This window comes from Homo sapiens, chromosome 15 (genome assembly GCF_000001405.40).
Source record: "Homo sapiens chromosome 15, GRCh38.p14 Primary Assembly".
Lineage (NCBI taxonomy): Eukaryota > Metazoa > Chordata > Mammalia > Primates > Hominidae > Homo > Homo sapiens.
This window is the reverse complement of record NC_000015.10, coordinates 49,099,384-49,121,032: the sequence shown is the minus strand read 5'-3', so window position 1 is coordinate 49,121,032 and position 21,649 is coordinate 49,099,384. Positions and strand designations below refer to the sequence as shown.

Here is a 21,649-nt window from a genome sequence, read left to right as displayed (position 1 = left end):
ATCTCAGATTCAAACGAGGCAGGGTATGATGTTAAGACTTTAGAAGTGGGCGGGGACCAGATTATGTGTAGTCTTAGAGGTAATTAGCTGAGATTTTACTCTGAATACACTGGGAAGACTGGAAATTTAAAAGATGATACTGGCTATTATGTGGAAAAATTACTGTATGGGGCAAGAGTGTGGGCCGAGAGACAGTAGGAGTCCATTGCAGAAGTCTGGGTGAAATGATGGAGATTTTTGGACTAGGACAGGAGAAGTGGGTAAGATCAGGATAAGGCTGACAAGGATTTGCTTATGAGTTGAAATTGGGGGTTATGAAGGAGAGAAACATCAAGGATGGCTCTTGGATTTGTTACTGAGTAACTGGTAGACAGTGGTATGATTAAATGAAATGAGAAGACTAAGAAAGTATTTTTTGGTAAAAGACAGTGGACAAGGAGCTTGGAAATAAATGAGAGCGGTGTCACAGAAACAGGCATTTCAAACAGTAAGTATTAACTGAATGCTGCTGAGAGGTTAAATAAGGGCAGAGAAGGGCCCTAGGATTTAGCAAGATGCAAGTCTTTGGTAATGTTAATAAGCATTTTCAGTGGAATGATGAAGATGTTCCAGCTCTTCTATTTAACTATGAGTAATTTCATTTAAATAGTCATCCTTAATTTCTCACTATAAATTAAAGGTTTTTTGTTTGTTTTGTTTTGTTTTTTGAGACGAGTTTTGCTATTGTTGCCCAGTCTGGAGTGCAGCAGCGTGATCTTGGCTCACTGCAACCTTTGCCTCCCAGATTCAAACGATTCTCCTGCCTCAGCCTCCCGAGTAGCCGAGACTACAGCTGTGCACCACCACGCCCACCTAATTTTTGTGTTTTTAGTAGAGATGTGGTTTCTCCACGTTGGCCAGGTTCTGCATATATGTATATAAATATATATGCATATATTTATAAGCATTTATATATTTATAAGCATTTATATATAAGCACTGTATATTTATAAGGTTCTGGCCAACATGGAGAAACCCCATCTCTACTAAAAATACAAAAATTAGCTGGGCGTGGTGGTGCACAGCTGTAGTCTCGGCTACTCAGGAGGCTGAGGCAGGAGAATCGTTTGAATGCAGGAGGCAGAGGTTGCAGTGAGCCAAGATCGCGCTGCTGCACTCCAGACTGGGCAACAATCGCAAAACTCGTCTCAAAAAACAAAACAAAACAAAACAAACAAACTTTATAGTGAGAAATTAAGGATGACTATTTAAATGAAATTACTCTCCTGACCTCGTGATCTGCCTGCCTCTGCCTCCCAAAGTGCTGGGACTATAGGCATGAGCCGCTGTGCCCGACCTAAAGGTTTTTTTTTAAAGTCCTTTTTTTGGGTGGTTGTGGTGGTAGTAAGAACACTAAACATGAGATTTTTAAGTGTACAATAGAGTATTGTTAAGTACAGGCACAATGTTACGCAGCAGACCTCTAGAACTTTTTCATCTTGCGTAACTGACTTTATACTAATTAATTCGCATCTCCCCATTTCCCCACCCCCCAGCCCCTGGTAACCATTTTATTCTTTGCTTCAGTGAGTTTGACTATCTTAGATACCTCACATAAATGATCATGCAGTATTTGTCCTTACCTGAAAGTTGGTTCTTTTTTCCATCTTCTGAATGTTAAGTAGAATAACTTAGGAAATTTTGAAATAAAGCCAACTATAACTCCAGACATTAATAACAAACAGCTTTCTATAAAATGTCTCTTCCTATAAAGTATTTTAAAACCAGTTTGTTTCCTTTCCAACACTGTGTGTGTGTGTGTGTGTGTGTGTGTGTGTGTGTGTGTGTGTATTTATATATATTTTATTATTATTATTATTTTTCAGATGGAGTCTCGCTCTTGTTGCCTAGGCTGAAGTGCAGTGGCACGATCTCGGCTCACTGCAGCCTCCGCCTCCCGGGTTCAAGCGATTCTCCTGCCTCAGCCTCCCAAGTGGCTGGAATTACAGGTGTGTGCCACCACGCCCAGCTAATTTTTTAATTTTTAGTAGAGACGGGGTTTTACCGTGTTGGCCAGGCTTGTCTTGAACTCCTAGCCTCAGGTTATCTGCCTGGCTCAGCCTCCCAAAGTGCTGGGATTACAGGAGTGAGCCACTGTGCCTGGCCCAACACTGTATATTTATAAGCATTTAACTTTAAAGTTTTTCTTTGATGCCTATTAACTATAAAATTGTTGAAATCCATTGCTTTACCTAACATTTGTATGTCCCCACAAAAGCTGTCAATTTTTCCTTGTTGATGAAGAATGAATTTTTTATATGTAAACAAAGCCCTTTTGGTTTATCAATTTTTGTGATATCTCAGAATATCATTATAGCTAGATGTTAATATAAAAATCATGAATTATAGAAAAGTTTGGGTTTGTCTAGAAGAAACAAACCAGTTCAAATATAAACAACATTGAAAGATTGTATTTTGAGTAATCTCAAATTCACAGTGGAATAACAATACATCTAAAATTACCATGTTTTATTAGGTTGGTGCAAAAGTAATTGCAGGTTTTGCTATTGAAGGTAATGGAAAAAACTGCAGTTACTTTTGTGCCAACCTAATATCTGAAAGTATACTTGGCTTTACATATTTGAATGCTTATGAAGCAAGAATAATTAAATTTGCAGGCAATCATATCTCAGAAGTAATGGCTATTTCTCCTCAATAGAAAATCAGGAAACAGTTGAGTGAGATTGTGCTTCTGTGGAAAAAACAATGAATTCTAGCAATAGGTTGCTATCTTTTTTTTTTTTTTTTTGAAAGAGTCTTACTCCGTCACCCAGGCTGGAGTGCAGTGACACAATCTTGGCTCACTGCAACCTCCGCCTCCTGGATTCAAGCAAGTCTCCTGTCTCAGCCTCCCAAGTAGCTAGGATTATAGGCATCTGCCATCACACCCAGCTAATTTTTGTATTTTTAGTAGAGATGGGGTTTCACCATGTTGGTCAGGCTGCTCTCGAACTCCTGACCTCAGGTGATCCACCCGCCTCGGCCTCCCAAAGTGCTGGGATTACAGTCGTGAGCCACGGTGCCCAAGGTTGCTATCTTAATAGATGCCACTTTCAGCTTCCCAGGAAAGAGGAGTGTGGTAGAGTAGAAAGACCTAGGAAACAGGCGACCTGCATTATATGGTTGACTAAGAATTGAGATCTTGCCACTTAATCTCTCTGGGCTTCATTTTTTTTTCTTGAGCGATTCTTTTTAACCTCAGGTATATAGAACAGAGAAAATCATTATCCTTGTCACCTGGCATAATAGCATGTCTTTTCAGTTTACTTTCCATGTATTTAGTTATGTGTATATTTTGAAAAAATAATATACATATGCCTATTTTTAACTTTTTTTTGAGAAGGAGTCTCGCTGTCACGCAGGCTGGAGTGCAGTGGCACAATCTTGGCTCACTGCAACCTCCGCCTCCTGGGTTCAAGTGATTCTTCTACCTCAGCCTCCTGAGTAGCTGGGATTGCAGGCATCGGCCACCACACTAGGCTAATTTTTGCATTTTTAGTAGAGACGGGGTTTCACCCTGTTGGCCAGGTTGGTCTCGAACTCCTGACCTCAGGTGATCCGCCTGCCTCGGCCTCCCAAAGTGCTGGGATTACAGGCGTGAGCCACCGCGCCTGGCCTTTAATTTTTATAAATGACAAATTTTATTGATAAATAATACTAGTACGTATTTATGGGGCATATGTAATATTTTTTACATGCATAGGATGTGTAATGATCAAGTCTGGCTATGTAGGGTATCCTTCACCTTGAGAATTTATCATTTCTATGTGTTGGGAACATTTTCAGTCCTATCTTCTAGCTATTTTAAAATATACAATACATAGTCACACTACTCTGCTATCGAACATTAGAATTTATTCCTTCTAACTGTGTACGTATACCCATTAACCAACCTTTCTTCAACCACCCCACATACACACCTTTCTCAGCCTCTGGTATCTATCATTCTAATCTATCTCCATTACATCAACTTTTTTAGCCCTCACATGTGAGTAAGAACATGTGATATTTGTCTTTCTGTGCCTGGCTTATTTCACTTAACATAATGACCTCTGGTTCCATCCATGTTGTGGCAAATTGACAAGGTTTTCATTATTTTCTATGGCTGAATAGTATTCGTGTGTGTGTGTACACACCACATTTTCTTTATTCGTTCATCTGTTGATAGACACCGGTTCTTTTCATATCTTTGCTGTTGTGAATCATTCTACAATAAACACAGGGTGCAAGTATCCCTTTGATCTACTGATTTTTTTCCTTTTGATAAATATTCAGTAGTGGGATTCCTGGATCATATGATAGTTCTCTTTTTAGTTCTTTGAGAAATCACCATACTGTTTTCCATAATGGCTGTACTGACTCACATTCCTATCAACAGTGTATGAGTTCCTTTTTCTCCATCCTTCCCAGCATCTGTTATTTTTGTCTTTTTGATAATAACCATTTTAACTGGTGTAAGAAGATATGTCATTGTGGTTTTGATTTACATTTCTTTGATGTTTAGTGATGTTGCGCATTATTTCATGTACCTGTTGGCCATTTGAATGTCTTTTAAGAAATGTCTATTCATATCCTTTGACTACTTTTTAATGGGATTATTTTTTTTGTACTGTTTAGTTGAGTTCCTTATATATTCTGGATATTAGTCCCTTGTTGGATGAATAGTTTGCATGTATTTTCTCCCATTCAACAAGTTGTCTTTTCACTCTGTTGATTGTTTCCTTGTCATGCAGAAACTTCCTAGTTTAATATAATCCCATTTGTGTATTTTTGTTTTTGTTGCCTGTGCTTTCAAAGCCTTAACCATAAAATCTTTGCCTATGCCAATCCCCTGAAGCATTTCCGCTATGTTTTCCTCTAGTACTTTTATAATTGCATGTGGTATGTTTTAAGTCTTTAATCCATGTTGAGTAGATATTTGTGTATGGTGAGAGATAGAGGTCCAGTGTCATTCTTCTGCGTATGGATATCCAATTTTCCCAGCACCACTTGTTTAACAGAGTATTCTTTTCCCAACATGTGGATTTATTTCTGAGTTCCCTATTTTGTTTCGTTGGTCATTGTGTCTGTTTTTTACCAATGCCATGCTGCTTTGGTTGCTATAGCCTTGTAATATTTTTGAGGTCAGGTAGTATAATGCCTCTAGCTTTGGTGGTTTTTGTTTTTGCTCAGGATTGCTTTGGCTATTTGAGCTCTTTTTGGTTTCAAGTGAATGTTAGGATTGTTTTTTCTATTTCTGTGAAAATGACAGTGGCATTTTGATAAGGACTGCGTTGAATCTATAGGTGCTTTGTGTAGTATGGTCATTTTAACAGTATTCTTTAATCCATAAGAATGGTTGTCTTTCAATAAGTTCTTTCAATTTCTTTCATCAGTGTTTTGTAGTTTTCCTTGAAAAGGTCTTTCGCCTAGTTGGTTAAATTTATCCGTATGTATTTTATTTTATTTTATTTTATTTTATTTTTATACCTATTGTAAATAGGATTGCTTGGTTGATTTCTTTTTCAAAGAATTTGTTAGTGGTGTATAGAAACACTAGTGATTTTTAAAGTTCATTTTTTATCTTGCAACTTTACTAAATTCGTTTATCAGTTCTAAGAGTTTTCTGGTGGAGTCTTAAGTTTTTCTATGTATAATATGCTGTCTGCAAACAAGGACAAGTTGACTTCCTCTCTTTGAGTTTGGATATCTTTTATTTTTTTCTCTTGCCTAACAGCTGTGGTAAAACTTCTAGTACTATGTTGAATGACAGTGGTGAAAGTAGGCATGCTTATCGTGTTCCAGTTTTTAAATAGAAAGCTTTCCATTTTTCCCCATTCAGTATGATGTAAGCTGTGGGTTTGTCATATATGGTCTATTATGTTGAGATACTTTCCTTCTGTACCCAATTTCTTCAGAACTTTTGTCATAAAGAGATGTGAAATATTATCAAATGCTTTTTCTGTGTCTTTTGAGGTGATCGTATGATTTTGTCCTTCATTCTGTTGATGTGATGTTTCACTCTTATGGATCTGCATATGTTATACCATCCTTTCATCCATGGGATAAACCCCATTTGCTAATCATGTATTATCTTTTGGATGTGCTGTTGGATTTGGTTTGCTAGTATTTTCTTGAGGATTTTTGTGTCTGTGTTTATCAGGGATATTGGCCTATAGTTTTCTTGTTTTGTTGTATCCTCTTCTGGTTGTAACAATGCTGGCCTCATAGAATGAGTTAAAAAGAATACCCTCCTCAGCCAGGCGTGGTGGCTCACGCCTGTAATCCCAACATTTTGGAAGGCCGAGGCGGGTGGATCACCTGAGGTTAGGAGTTTGAGACCAGCCTGGCCAACATGGTGAAATCCCATCTCTACTAAAAATTCAAATTAGCTGGGCGTGGCGGCATGTGCCAGTAATCCTAGCCACATGAGAGGCTGAGGCAGGAGGATTGCTTGAACCCAGGAGGTGGAGGCTGCAGTGAGCTGAGATCACACCATTTCACTCCAGCCTTGGTGACAGAGTAAGACTCCAGCTAAAAAAAAAAAAAAAAAAAAAAAAAAAAAATATATATATATATATATATATATATATATATACACACACACATATATAGACACACACACATACACACACATATATATATACTCTCTCTCTCACACACACACACACACACACACACACACATATATATATATATATATATATATATATATATATATATATATATATATATATATAATCATGCCACTGCACTCCAGCCTGGGCAACAGAGTGAGATTTGGTCTCAAAAATAAATAAATAAATAAGAATACCCTCCTCAAGTTTTTGGAATAGTTTGAAAAAAAATTGGTGTTAGTTCTTTTTTTGGAAATTTGGTAGAATTCAGCAATGAAGCCATTCAGTCATGGGCTTTTTTTTTTGTTGGGAGACTTTTTATTACTGATTTATTACTCATTATCAGTCTATTCAGGTTTTCTATTTTTTCCTGATTCGATCTTGGTAGATTGTGTATGTCCAGGAATTTATCCATTTCCTCTATGTTTCCCAGTTTGTTCATGATAATCTCTGACAATCTTTTGCATTTTTGTGGGTATCAGTTGTAATGTCTTCATTTTCTTTTCTAGTTTTGTTTGAGTCTTCTGTCTTCCTTTTTTTTTTCTTGATTAGTCTAGCTAATAGTGTATTGATTTTATCTTTTCAAAAAGTTAAATTTTTGTTTTATTGATTCTGTATATTTTTATGCTCTATTTTGTTTAGTTCTCTAATCTTTATTATTTCTCTCCTATTAACTTTCGGGTTTGCTTGTTCTTGCTTTTATAGTTCTTTGAGGTACATCATTGGATTGTTTATTGAAATCTTTCTTCTTTGATGTACACATTTATTGCTACAAAATTTCCTCTTGGCAGTGCTTTTGCTATATCCCATAGGTTTTGGTATGTTGTGTTCGATTTTCATCTGTTTCAAGAGCTTTTTAAATTTTTCTCCTTAATTTCTTTCTTGACCCAGTGGTCATTGAGGAGCATGTTGTTTAATTTTTATATATCTGTACAATTTTTAAAATTCCTTTTGTTATTGATACCTGGTTTTATTTCACTGTGGTCTGAGAAAATACTTGATATGATTTCTATTTTTAAAAAATTGTGAAGACTTGCTTTGGGTCCTAGCGTGTGGTCTATCCTGAAAAATGTTCCATGTGCTGATGAGAAGTATGTGTATTCTGGAGCTGTTGGATGAATTGTTCTGTGTATGTCTGTTATGTCCATTTGGTCTATAGTGCACTTTAAATCCAATGTTTCTTTGTTAATTTTCTGTCTATATGATCTGGGTAATGCTGAGAGTGATGTGTTGATGTCTTCAACTATTATTATATTAGAGTCTATCTCATCTCTCCTTTTAGATCTAATAATATTTGCTTTATATATATGAGTGCTTAGGTGTTGGCTACATATATGTTTAGAATTGTCCTATCCTATTGCTGAATTGATCCCTTTGTCATTACATAATGACCTTCTTTGTCTCTTTTTACTATTTTTGACTTAAAGTCTTTTTTATCTGATATAAATAAATATAGCTACTTCTGCTTGCTTTTTTAACCCATTTGCATGGGTGGATATTTTTCCATCCTTTGACTTTTAGACTATATGTGCTTTTATAGATGAGATTAGTTTTTTGTAGGCAGCATATAATTAGGTCATGGTTTTTTTAAAAAAAAAAATCCATTCAGCCGTCTATATCTTTTAAGTGCAACATTTAATCTGTTCAAATTCAATGTTATTAATGTGTAAGAACTTACTCTTGTCATTTTATTGATTTCTGGTCATTTTATATATCCTTTGTACCTTTCTTCTACTCTTCTTGTTTGTCATTGTGGTTTGGTGGTTTTCTTTATTGGTAACTTTTGAGTCCTTGCTGTTCCTTATTTGTGTGTTTACCAGTTGATTTTATACATTTATGTGTTTCATGATAGTAGATAATATCCTTTCACTTCTACGTGTAGGACCCTTCAGAGCACATCTTGTAGGACCAATCCAGTGGTGATGGATTCCCTCAGCTTTTGCTTGTCTGGGTAAGACTTTATTTTTCCTTCATTTATGAAGGATAACTTTGCTGGGTATAGTATCCTTGGCTGATGGTTTTTTTTTTCTTCCAGCACTTATATATCATCCAATTTTCTCCCGGCCTGTAAGGTTACTGCTGAGAATCTACTGTTAGTCTGATGGAGATTCCCTCATAAGTGACCAGATGCTTTCTCTTGCTGCTTTTAGAATTATCTCATTGTTTTTCACTTTGACAGTTTGACTATAATGTATGGAGATTTTTTGAATCGTATCTGTTTGGGGATCTCTAAGCTTTCTGAATCTGTATGTGTAAATCTCTTGCTAGATGGGAAGTTTTTAGCTATTATCTTGTGAAATAGGTTTTGTATCCCTTTGGTTGACTCTTCACATCCTGGGACACTGAAATTTTGAATATTTGGTTGCTTTGTGGAGTCCCACGTGTCATGTATGCTTTGTTCATTCTTTTTTATTCCTTAAAAAAATAAATTGGGTTATTTCAAAAGACTTGTCTTCAAGTTCTGAAATTCTTTCTTCTGCTTGTTCTAGTCTATTGTGGAAGCTTTTAATTGTATTTTTTATTTCATTCAATGAATTCTGCAATAATTTTTGTTTAGTTCTTTTTTATGATACCTATCTCTTGGCTAAATTTCTCATTCATATCCTGAATTGTTTTTCTTATTCTTTATATTGTTTATCTGTGTCCCTCTGTATCTCACTGATACTTTTAATATCATCATTTTGAATTCTCTTTCTGGGATTTCATAAATTTCTTTTTCATTGGGATCTGTTGTTGGGGAATTATTATGTTCCTTTGCAGGTGTCATATCTCTTTGCTTTTTCGTGTTTCTGTGTCCTTACATTGATACCTGTGCATCTGGTATAATAGTCACTTCTTCCTCTTAGAGGAGGACTTTTTCCTGATGATATATCTATAATGTTTGTTGGGTAGGACACTTTGGCTTTGATTATGGGTGTGAGCAGTAGTATAGGGTCTGTATGATTTATTTGGCTATAAACAGCATCTGTGGTGTATGTATGTGATTTCCTTAGTGGCTTAGGGTTTTGTTGTTAGTGGAGGCTCTGGTGAAATTTTACTGGGAACAGAGACACCAGGTAGACTACTCCACTGGCCCCAGTGGTGGCCATGGAAGGCTGGACATGCCTGTCCTTGGGCCCCAGGACAGCATGCACTGGCACTTGTGTTAGTTGCTTCAGGTGGGTCATTTCTTGGGCCTTCCGCCACCTTGCTTGGGTGCCAGCAGTGGCATTGGTGGCCTGGTGTGTGCGCAGGTTGTTGAGCTCCTGGGCAGTGGGTGGTACATGAACAATGGCAGTGGTAGTGACAGAACAACTCCCTGGCTCCCAAGTGGTTCACACTGGTGTTGGAGGTGGCTGCAACAGGTACTCAGGCCCTCAGGTGATGCATTCAGGTGGGTGCCAACTGTGGTGGTAGTGGCAGGTTGAGTGGTCCCATCCTTAGGACCCTGGGAAGAGTGCTCAGGTGCCAGTGATGATGGATGAGGCAGGGTGATCCCAGGCCCCAGATGACATTCTCAGGCACTGGCCAGAGGGTGGAGCTTGGCTGGGCAGACCTGTCCTCAGGTCCCTCAGTTGTACATGTGGGCATTGGCTATTTTTGGCAGAGGCAGAGTGATCCCCAGGCCCCTGTGGGGATGGCAGGGTTGCTTTCAGTGGTAGCCAGCAGAAAGCAGGTGGCTGGGTAGCACATGATTTGGCCTCAGAGTATGGCTGTGGATAGGATAGCCTGTCCTCATGGCACTCATAAATATGCCACAGCAGTGCTTCTGGGGACAACAGGATTATTGGCATTGGCTCCCACTTCAGCCCTGGCAGCAGTAGCCAGCAGTGGCAGTGGCTGTAGGCAGGGCATGTCAGTGGGACTCCAGGAATGTGGAGATGCAGAGACTGTTGGGCCCCATGGCAGGAGGCAGTCTGGTGGAGACTGAGCTCTCAGTATCCTGCCATGTTGTAGCTACTTAGGACTCATAGGGATGCATGGGACCTAGCATGAGTTTCCTCTTTGGAGCAAGGGTGTTGTGTGGTATGGTCTCCAGGCAGTTCCCTATGTTAGTCTCAGGGCCTGTAAAGGTAAGGGACTCTTCCTTTGTCTAGGACTGTGGGAGTCCTCCATAGGAATGTGGACCACGGGTGGTCTCTCCGTCTCTCACTTACCCTTTCTCCACATTGAGCAGCCTCTTTAGGCTACCAGCCAATCCTGGCTGAGCAGGCTGCCTTGATTCCCTCTCCTTCTTTGCCTTAGGTGTTTCCTGTTACTTCTCTGTTGAATTCTAGTTTTCTTTCTTAGATTATCCATTCAAAGTGTGATTATCTACTTGCTATTTTGGTTCTTCTTTGTGGAGGAGACAAGTATCAAATGCCTCTACTTAGTCCTTTTGAACCCGTCCCTTTAACACTCTCAGTACCTTTTTAAACTATGCTTTTATCCATGTTATTTTTAAATCTGGTTTATTACTTCTGACTGTTGTTTTGTCACTTATATCTCATATGCATGCCGCAATTTACATATTTATCCTGTGATAGACATCTATGGAGGTTCCTTCCAGATCCTTACTACATAAATAATTCTGATGAACACTTTATCTTTATCTCCTTATGTACCTGTGCAAAATTTATTCTGGCATGTGTATCTGGAAATACTGGGTCTTAGGGCATAGTACTTTATTTCACCAAGTACTGCCAGATAACTCATCAAAATGGCTGTATCATTTATGTTCCCACCAGTAGTGCATGAGGGTTCCAGTTTTCTTTTATCCTTGACAGCCCTTGATAATATCTAACTTCGGTATCTTATTGTTTTTTAAATGCACATTTTTATTACTAATGAGCTTGTACATCTCTTCATACATTTATTAGCCATTTAGTTGTCCCCTTCTATGGACTGTCTACTCTTCACAATCTGTTATTGGCTTATTTTTACTGATCTATGTCAGGCCATTTGTGTATTCTAGATATTAAACTCTTATCTATCTTATTTTAGATTTGCAACTATTCTCCGAAGCATTGTCTCTTATGTCCTTATTGAACATAAAACTTTCATTCTAATGATAAGTCTATCCTTTTTCCTCCTCATCATCCATGTTTTTTAAGAACTCATTTAAGAAATCTTTTCCAATACAGAAGTGTTGTTTTATAGTTTCCCTTTTATATTTAAATCTTTATTTGGAGTTTATTATGGTATATGATTTGAGGTAAGCATCAAGCTTTTCATTTCTTTGTAATGAAGCACATTTTCTCAATTTCATCTACTAAATTATTATTCCCCACTGATTTGTGATGCTACCTTTTTTAACTACCACTTCTACAAAGGCAAGGGGTATATTTCTGGGTTCTGTAGTCTAGTTCTATTTGTTTCCTCACCAGTGCCACGTTGTGTTTTTATTACTGAGCTGAGTGATGTCTTCATTACAGGAGAATCTCTCCACCCAATTTTCTGCTCATTTTGAAATTTATTTTAGTATTCATGTATCTTTATCTTTATTTTTCTGTATCAATTTTGCCATCAGTTTGTCAAGTTTCTTTAAGGTACTGTGGAGTTTTAATTGGAATTACATTAAATTCAGAGATAGATTTGTTTCCTTTTATGTGACTTTTATGTGACTCTTGTTTTTAGTTTTTTTCACTATAAAGATTTTGAGCATTCTTTGTTATATTAATTTCAAAATCTTTATAGCTTATGATCTGTCATTTTCTAAAATATTTTCTAGTTGGTTATTATTGAAATAGAAGAATGATATTGATAATTTGCATACTGGTTTTTATGTTTACCAACCTTGCTGAACCTTATTTATCAATAGTTGGTCTTTGATTCACATGTGTATGTGTGTGTTTGAGACGGAGTCTCACTCTGTCGCCCGGGCTGGAGTGCAGTGGTGTGATCTTGGCTCACTGCAACCTCCGCCCCCTGGGTTCAAGCGATTCTCCTGCCTCAGCCTCCCAAGTAGCTTGGATTACAGGCACGTGCCACCATGCCCAGCTAATTTTTTGTATTTTTAGTAGAGAAGGGGTTTTACCGTGTTAGCCAGGATGTTCTCGATCTCCTGACCTCGTGATCTGCCCACCTCAGCCTCCCAATCACCTGTGTTTTTAATATGGATAATCATGTCAAAAATACACACACACATTTATTTGTAAGCATCTCAAATTTCTCCATTAGGCATGAAATTCGTTATCAGTTTTGAGGAGTTAGCATTCTTTAAATTACAAAAATTCTCTTCTGTTTTTTGTCTTCTAAAAGCTCTTTAAAAATCATAAATAGGTTTTATGAAAATAGGTTTTATGAGCTATATAAAATATTCCTCGACCTAATAAGATGAACATGTGTGTTCACATAGTGGGTTACATGGTGTTAAATCATCCCAACATTCTGGGATAAACTCAGACTGATGATTATATCTTCCTTTTCAGTACAATTTTGCATTTAATAGCCAACATTTTATTTAGAGGTTTGCCACCTATGATTTTAAGTAAAATTGGGCTATAATTTTCTCTTCTTGGACTGTCTTTCATTGGTTTAGCTATCAAGGTTATTTTACATCATAAAATGAATAGGCAGCTTTCACTCTTTCTGTTTATTATAACAGTATATAATATACATTATTATATTACATATAATATGTAGCATATTATACACATACAATATCATATGTATAATATATGTATATACGTATAATATATGTATACATATAATATGTATAATATATGTGTATATGTATAATATTATATATATACATATAATATGTATAATATTATATATATACATATAATATGTATAATATGTTCTTGAAAGAACTCACTTGTAATGCTGTTTGGACTAAGACATTTCAGAGATAGTAAGATTTTTAAATTTTGCAATTTCTTTAATGATTATTCATCCTTTCAAAAACTTATCTTGTGCTATTTTGGCATTTTATTTGTTTTCAGAAATATACCTGATTTATATCAGTCTTCAAATTTATCAGGATATAGTTTGTGATATTCTTTTTATTTTTAATATCCATTATATTTATGATTATTCCCCTTTTTTGTTCTGTATTTGTTTATTATGTCTATCTTATTAGTCTTTCTAACTTTCCAGTTTGGGGCTCATCTTTATTATGTTTTTTGTTCTCTTACTGATTTTTGCCCTGATCTGTATGACTTCCTTTATTGTCATTTCTTTAAATATATATTCTGTGGCTCCTTTTCTAGCTTCTTGAATTGAATCATTTTTAAATTAAATTATAGTAAATTTGCTCAAAACTATATGAAAATCCTCTTTGGTATTTTCCTTATATAGATCTGCTGATAATAAATTCTTCTGGTACTTATTGGTCTGAAAATGTCTTTATTTCATCTTCATTTTTGAAGAATATTTTCACTGGGTATATAAATCTAAGTGTGCTATTATTTCCTTCCAGCACATCAAAAATATTTTACTATCTTGTGGTTTTTATTGTTTCTTTTGAGGAGTCAACTGTCAATCTAATTGTTTTGCCTTTGAAAATTAACTGTCTTTTTATCTTTAGCTGCTTTGAAGATGTTCTCTTTGTCTTTGGTTTTCCACAATTTTACTGTGATGTACCTAGATGTGGACTTTTAAAAATGCATCCTCTTGGCATCCTTTGGGTCTGTTGAATCTACAGATTGATATCTCTCACCAGCTATAGCAGAATATCAGATATTGTCTCCTTGGGTATTGCTTCTGCCACATTTTCTCTCTTCTTTTTTTCTGAAACTCCAAATAAGCATATATTAGACCTTTTCATTGTATCCTATGTCTCTAACCTTAATTTTTTTTCGTTTTTTTTTTTTTTTGCCTTTATATGCTTTATTTTGGATTTTCATTTGCCTTTTTTTTAATATTGTCACTTAGCTATGTGTAATCCATTATTAAATTTATATTGGTTTTGTATTGTCACTTAGCTGTGTGTAATCCATTATTAAGCCCATCGTAGTGAGTTGAATAATGTCACCCCAAAATTCATGTATACTAAGACCTCAGAATGTGACCTCATTTGGAAGCAGCATCTTTGCAGATGTAATTAAAGATCTTAAGATGAAAGCATCCTGGTTTTAGGATGGGCTCTAAATTCAATGATTGGTTTCTTTATAAGAGAAAGGAGAGGAAGATTTGGACACAGACACACAGAGAAGAGGTCAAAGTGAAGACAGAACCAGAGATTGGAGTTTTGCTGCCATAAGCCAAGAAACCAAGAGCCAAGAAACACCAGAAGGTAGGAGAAAGGCAAGGAAGAACTTCCCCTCTAAAGCCTTCAAAGAAAGAAAATATAACCCTGCCAGCACCTTGATTTCAGACTTCTGGCTCCAGAACTGTGAGAGAATAAATTTCTGTTGTTTTAAGCTACCAGGTTTGTGGTAGTTTGTTCTGGCAGTCCTAGGAAACAAATATCCCTATCCATGAAGTTATTTTCCAACATTTACGGGAAATTCCTTTGAGCCAATTTGTCAGTCAGTCATACGTACCTTTGTTTTGTGTGTGTTTCTGTTTAAAAACAACTTATTTAATGTATATTATTGATTCATTAAGGTTGACCTCATGGCCAACAGCACTATAACTCATGCCTGAACATAGCTTACCTAACACACATATTTTCTCCATAAGATACAGCCTTCCTGCACTTAGGAACACTAGACAGCACTTCAGCACTATGTTTTGAGGGCCATTAAATAGCAAAGTCACCAACACAAAGCCCAAAAATGCAAAAACTGTGGCACTAAATAGGTTGCAAGAAGAACAGTTGTGTATATTCTGAGAGCTGAAACTAGAAGACAGAGAATCAGTCCCAGCTCAGAATGTGCGCTTTGGGTTACTCACATTTTTCATTAGTCTTTGCAAATGTATGTTCATGAATGACTGTGAAAGCACCAGAAATATTGATTTTCTGTTTACAAATACATTTTAATGAGTAGGTGAATTCTCAAATATGAAATCTGCAAACAATGAGAGTCAAGTGTACAACTAATCCAGGTATGCATTAAACTTCCAGCTGGGAGCTGAAAGTCAGATTTTATATAATGTCAAATATGAAGCTATGGTACTATATGGAGTTTGAATACCATTCGTTGCAGAAAATGATGATGTAACATTTTCAACAAATTGACTTTCCATGGTTTCTCACAGCTAGCTGCCTAAAGCCCCCACTTTAATGCGTCTTCTATATTGTGCTATCTGTTTTTTTGTTTGTTTTTGTTTTTTTGTTTTTTTTTTTTTTAAGACAGAGTTTTGCTTGTTGCCTAGGCTGGAGTGCAATGGCGTGATCTCAGCTCACCGCAACCTCCGCCTCCTGGATTCAAGTGATTCTCCTGCCTCAGCCTCCCGAATAGCTGGGATTACAGACATGCACCACCATGCCTGGCTAATTTTGTATTTATTTATTTTTTTAGTAGAGATGGGGTTTCTCCATGTTGGTCAGGCTGGTCTCGAACTCCCAACCTCAGATGATCCATCCGCCTCAGCCTCCCATAGTGCTGGGATTATAGGCGGGAGCCCCCGTGCCCAGCCTACATTGTGCTATCTTAACCCAAGTAAAAGGACACCTCCCTTTCCTTACTTGTTTCTCACCTTTCCCTGATAGGCTATTCCCTTGTCCTGTTACACACTTTTCTTTAACAGAGTCCCAGCTCTCTCTCCTTGTCTCCAGTGACACAGGTTTGGGGTCTGCCATCACCACCACCATTATGCCTTATTTGCTTATAATGCAGCAAAAAAAAAGGGGTGACTGCTGAGCAGATAGCTTGGCTTAGATAAAATCTGGAACATTTGTTATAATAGTCAAAAGCTAAAACTAATCCAAACAATTCAATAATCTTACCATGAGTCTTCTATCCTGTTTTTTCTCCAGGTACTTGTCAATAATGTGTATTTTATACTTGTGCCAGGGACAGAATCCAGACAGTTTCCTCTTTCCTGTTACTTTGAATCAATATATTTAAGGGTTTGATTTTTTTACTTCTTATTTTTTTATTTTTATTTTTTTCCTTTGAGATAAGGTCTCACTCTGTTGCCCAGGCTGGAGTGCAGTGGCATGATCATGGCTCACTGTGACCTCGGCCTCCCAGCCTCAAGAAATCCTCCCAACTCAGTTTCCCGAGTAGCTGAAACTATAGGTGCACACCACCACACCTGGCTAGTGTTTGTATTTTTTTTTTTTTTTTTTTGTAGAGATGGGATCTCACTATGTTGCCCGGGCTGGTCTCAAACTCCTAGCCTCAAGCAATCCTCCCACCTCAGCCTTTCAAAGTGCTGAGATTATATGCTTGGGCCACCGTGCCCAGTGCAAGGGTTTGGTTTTTTATAGTGCTTCTATTTGGGAAATCAGGCATAGAGGAATAGATTATAAGATGGTTTTGAAAAATACAAAGAAACCCAGATGAGACCTGCAGATTCACAGTGACAGAAGACATATTTTTGCAACTTCCTTTTGAATCTCCTTTGCAAAGAGTCCTGTCCTCATTTAGCCCAGACCATAAGAAAGGATATAACAGACACTGTCATGTTAGTTGAAAGCAGGAAATTTATATTGGCCAGTGATTTCTTCCTGTAAGCCTGAACAAAGTAAAGCTTCACGCTCCATAAACTCTTCTCATGCTACCCATATATATAGGTTCACTCACTGTCCATAGAGCAGTTAAAAATGATCGTTGTTTGGGCAGAGAAGCTACAAGTTTTTGGATTATTTTATTTTGTAGAGCAAAATATTTACTGAAGACACCTGCAGGGGAGGTTATAACAATCTCCATAACTTAGAGAGGATGCTGTCAATAAAATGGCATTTTGTCTTGTCTTCACCAAGACTCCTATTTTTGGAAGGTTTTTCCTTAATTTTTAGCATGCTTTTCTTAGTTTGAAGCTTTTGGGAGGTCTCTTAGTGACTTCATTCTCTGGTTTAGGTCACTTATGACTATAACCCCATATCAAGAGACTTACCAAGATATTTTAATTTTTCACTAGTTAAATGTCCATTTTTGTGTAAGAGTGCATGACATTTAATTATGAGCAAGTTATTTGGCTTTTCTGTCATAATATCCAAGAGTCAGAGTGAGGGCATAGGACAAAAAGCAAAGTACTTAGAAATGTGCTTTCAGTCAATATAGGGATGGGGGTTCCATTACTACTGTGATACAGCTACACCCCTAGAGTCATTATTCTGACTCAGTGAAGGAAAAACACTGAGCAGAGTTGGGTGTAGCAGCGTAGATACATCCAGATACTAAATGTGGCTAGAACCTCTGAGTCAGAAGTTTCTTCTGGATTGAGCTCCACTGAGTTACCTCATTTTAGTAAAAATGCTGTAGCTCAAACCCCCACATTTATGGAATAACCCTGGGAATACTTGGAGGTAATTCTTCATGGTATTACCCGTGAAGAGATCCTGGTTCTCTACATGAATTAGCCTGTAGGTGTCATAATGTGGTTTTTTTTGTTTTGTTTTTTGTTTTTTTGTTTTTGAGACAGAGTTTCACTCTTGTTGCCTAGGCTGGAGTGCAATAGCACGATTTTGGCTCACCGCAACCTCCGTTTCCCGGGTTCAAGCGATTCTCCTTCCTCAGCCTCCCGAGTAGCTGGGATTACAGGCATGTGCCACCACGCCCGGCTAATTTTGTATTTTTAGTAGAGACGGGGTTTCTCCATGTTGATCAGGCTGGTCTCGAACTCCTGACCTCAGGTGATCCACCCACCTCAGCCTCCCAAAGTGCTGGGATTACAGGCGTGAGCCACTGAGCCCGGTGTGTTATAATGTTTTAATAGTTACGTGCACACACATATATTTATTTTTTATCTGTTATGTTTGTCTTTTATCTTGAAAGACAATCTCAGATGACATTTCTTACTCCTTCTCCTTAAATTATTTCTATAGTTTTGAGGCCTACTATTAATCTGGCAGTGTAATTTTTTTTTCTGTATGCATTTTCATATGGCTTAGAAAATTACTCTGCAAATAATACATGTTCATTGGTAAAAAACTCAAGGTACACAGGATATATCATGAAAAGCAAAAGAATCAGGCCAGGCGCGGTGGCTCACACCTGTAATCCCAGCACTTTGGGAGGCTGAGGCAGATGGATCACCTGAGGTCGGGAGTTCGAGACCAACCTGACCAACATGGAGAAACCCTGTCTCTGCTAAAAATACAAAATTAGCCAGGTGTGTATGCCTGTAATCCCAGCTACTCGGGAGGCTGAGGCAGGAGAATTGCTTGAACCCGGGAAGCGGAGTTTGCGGTGAGCCGAGATTGCGCCATCGAACTCCAGCCAGGGCAACAACAGTGAAACTCTGTCTCAAAAAACAAGAAAAAGTAAAAGAATCTTGACCTTAGATAGAATCATTATCAGTAGATTATTTTCTGTCCTTCCAGAAACTCTCTGTGCATATAAAAAAATACAATTTTTGCATAAGTAGGGTCCAACTAAATGTTCTGCCACTTGCTTTGTATCTAATGTGTATATTTTAAATTGATATAAAGAAGGCACAGCAAGACAGGGCCCATCATACAGTATGACATTTCACAACATTGTATTCTTTTATTCTTGACTACAACATAATGTGCCTTTAAAGTGACCTTTTGTTTTAGTATGTACGGAAGGAACACAAGAGTTTTACAATAAACAATATCTTACAATAATGACTCATTATTTGGAGGAAAAAAAACCTAGCAAATATCTTGGGAAAATGTCATCGTGCATCTGGTGGTCAGCAAACTTGGAGTGAGATTCCTGTCTAGTTCTGTGGCATTCCATATTCAGTCTCACAAAGAATGGGATTGTGAGAAAACTCATTTTACCAGTGGGATGTTTCACAAAAATTTTTTTGACCAAGATACTCCCACCATTCTCAAGACCTATAATCTAGTTAGATTTGTAAATGGAAAGCTTAATGCTTATTATTTTTAGCACTGCAAATGTTTCCACTTTTGACTTTTAGAAAAACAACTTCCACCAGTTAATTTTCAGGCCTACTGTGTGCCAAGCTATGATGAACGCTTTTGATATGTCATTTAATCTTCACTGCAACCTATGAGGTAAATACTGTTCTTTTCTGATTTCCTTTCTGTTAACAAAAACAAAGGCACACAAAGGTTAAATAATGTGTTCAAGACCACATCACTAAGTGGAGAAGCTGAGCTTGAGACCAAGATTAGTGTAACTCCAGAGGCCGTATGCTAACCTCTGTGCTACCTAACTTCTCTTGTGCAGTATTTTGTCCCTTCTCTTCCCACCTATTGCCCTTGCACTGTTGGTGCACCCTACTCAGCACGTCGGCAGTGTTAGCTGAAACAGCATATTGCCTTTACCTTTTATTTGTTTCTTTTGAATCTCCCTTCTAGAAAGCCCTGTCCTCATTCAGCTCAGACCACCCTAGTACAAGAAGGGTCAGCAGACACTGCCTATTAAACTGAAAGCAGGGAGTTCACATCGGCCAGGTGGTCTCTTTCTGAAACTGGAACAAAGATAACCATCAAATGAATATCAACTCTGTATGCTACATATGCCTGTTTATAAAACACTGGCTTTTAGTATGACCTACATCCACAAAATAGTGGAAAATTAGTGTAACTTGGTAGTAGAATATGTTACAGAGAAATTCACCTTACCTGGTCATGAGTCTTCTCCTGGACTTCAGCAATCTGAATTTCAATTCTCTCTCTTAACTGTCATACTTCTGATTCTCCTTCCTATCTACCCAGTCTTTTCTCTCACAAATTTATGTTGTAAGCATGTTCTTTTTCTTCTGCATTTGCATCCTTGAAATACTGTTTCATAGATGCTCACAGGCATGTGCAAGTGGGGAAGGGTGAGTGAAAGTACATATAGTGGAGTGTCTTGGTGTGTATGTGTATGGATGAGCAAATGGTATATTTGTGTGCCCAATTCACTCTCTGATATATGCTCTGGCATATGTTCAATAAATATGATAAATAAGTGGAAATAAAGACACAAAATTCCTTTTCTATAACAGAAATGTGGTAATAGAGCTAGGGAATTTCTCTAAGGCTCTCTCTGTCCCTCACTAGCTAACCTGTGCCCTAGTCAAGGCTTGCAACATCTCTTGTCTTGATCCTTACATAGAGCTTCCAGATTAGTCCCCTAAGCTTTCCTCTTTCAATTCATCCTAGTAGCCAATATCAGATTTGTCTCCCCAAAATTCTCTAATTGATAACCTACATATTATGAGCTGAATTATGTTGCTCCCCCTACCCCCACCAAATTCATATGTTGAAGCCCTAACCCTTAATGGGAATATATTTGGAGATAGGGTCTCTAAGAAGGTAATTAAGGTTAAATGAGGTAATAAGAGTGGGTTCCCAATCCAATAGTATCGGTGCCCTTGTAAGAAAAGAAAGACAGACCAGAGTTTTTTCTCTTTATGCCAGCACAGAGGAAAGGCCATGTGAAGACAAGTGAGAAGCAATTATCTATAAGCCAAGAAGAGAGCCTTCACCAGGGACTAAATTAGTTCATACCTTGATATGGAACTTCTAGCCTCCAGGACTGTGAAAAAATAAGTTTCTGTTGTTTAAAGCATCCAGCCTACGTTATTTTCTTGTGGCAACCCTACCAGACTAATATACTAGGGTAACTCCCTATTTTTCTGACTCTAGACTCCTTTATACCCCCTACCAAATCCAATCCTACCATAGTTGCCCATCATCTCCAACTTGGCATTCTCTGCAGTCAAGTATGGCTCTTCAGTGTTTCCTGAACACTACCTTTTGTTCATGGTGGCTCCTGCTTCAAAATAAGACCATGCCAATAGATTATTTCAACAGCCTCCCAGTTGGTCTCTGTGCCTTTCCCCTTCAGTTTATCTTCAATCTACTCCTAGAACAGCTGCCAAGTGATTCTATTAAAGCATGTCCAAATATCTTACTCCCCTGTCCAAAACCTCCCACTGGATTCCCATCTCACTCAGAGTAGAAGATCATATTCTTAAAATGGCCCCCAAGGCCCTGCCCAAAAAGTTCTCCCATTGTCTTTCTGACCTGATCACCTACTACTTACTTTCTTGTTCATTTCGCCCCTGCCATATTC

At 37.6% G+C, this 21,649-nt stretch overlaps 1 long non-coding RNA gene across 1 annotated transcript; it reads left to right on the top strand.

Moving 5' to 3' along the window:
* Window positions 1-1,169: 1,169 nt before the first annotated feature.
* LOC124903489 (uncharacterized) lies at window positions 1,170-14,963 on the top strand. Its single transcript, XR_007064629.1, has 2 exons — window positions 1,170-1,988; window positions 14,713-14,963. It is a non-coding gene; the product is annotated as an uncharacterized LOC124903489 (long non-coding RNA).
* The last annotated feature ends 6,686 nt before the right edge of the window (window positions 14,964-21,649 follow it).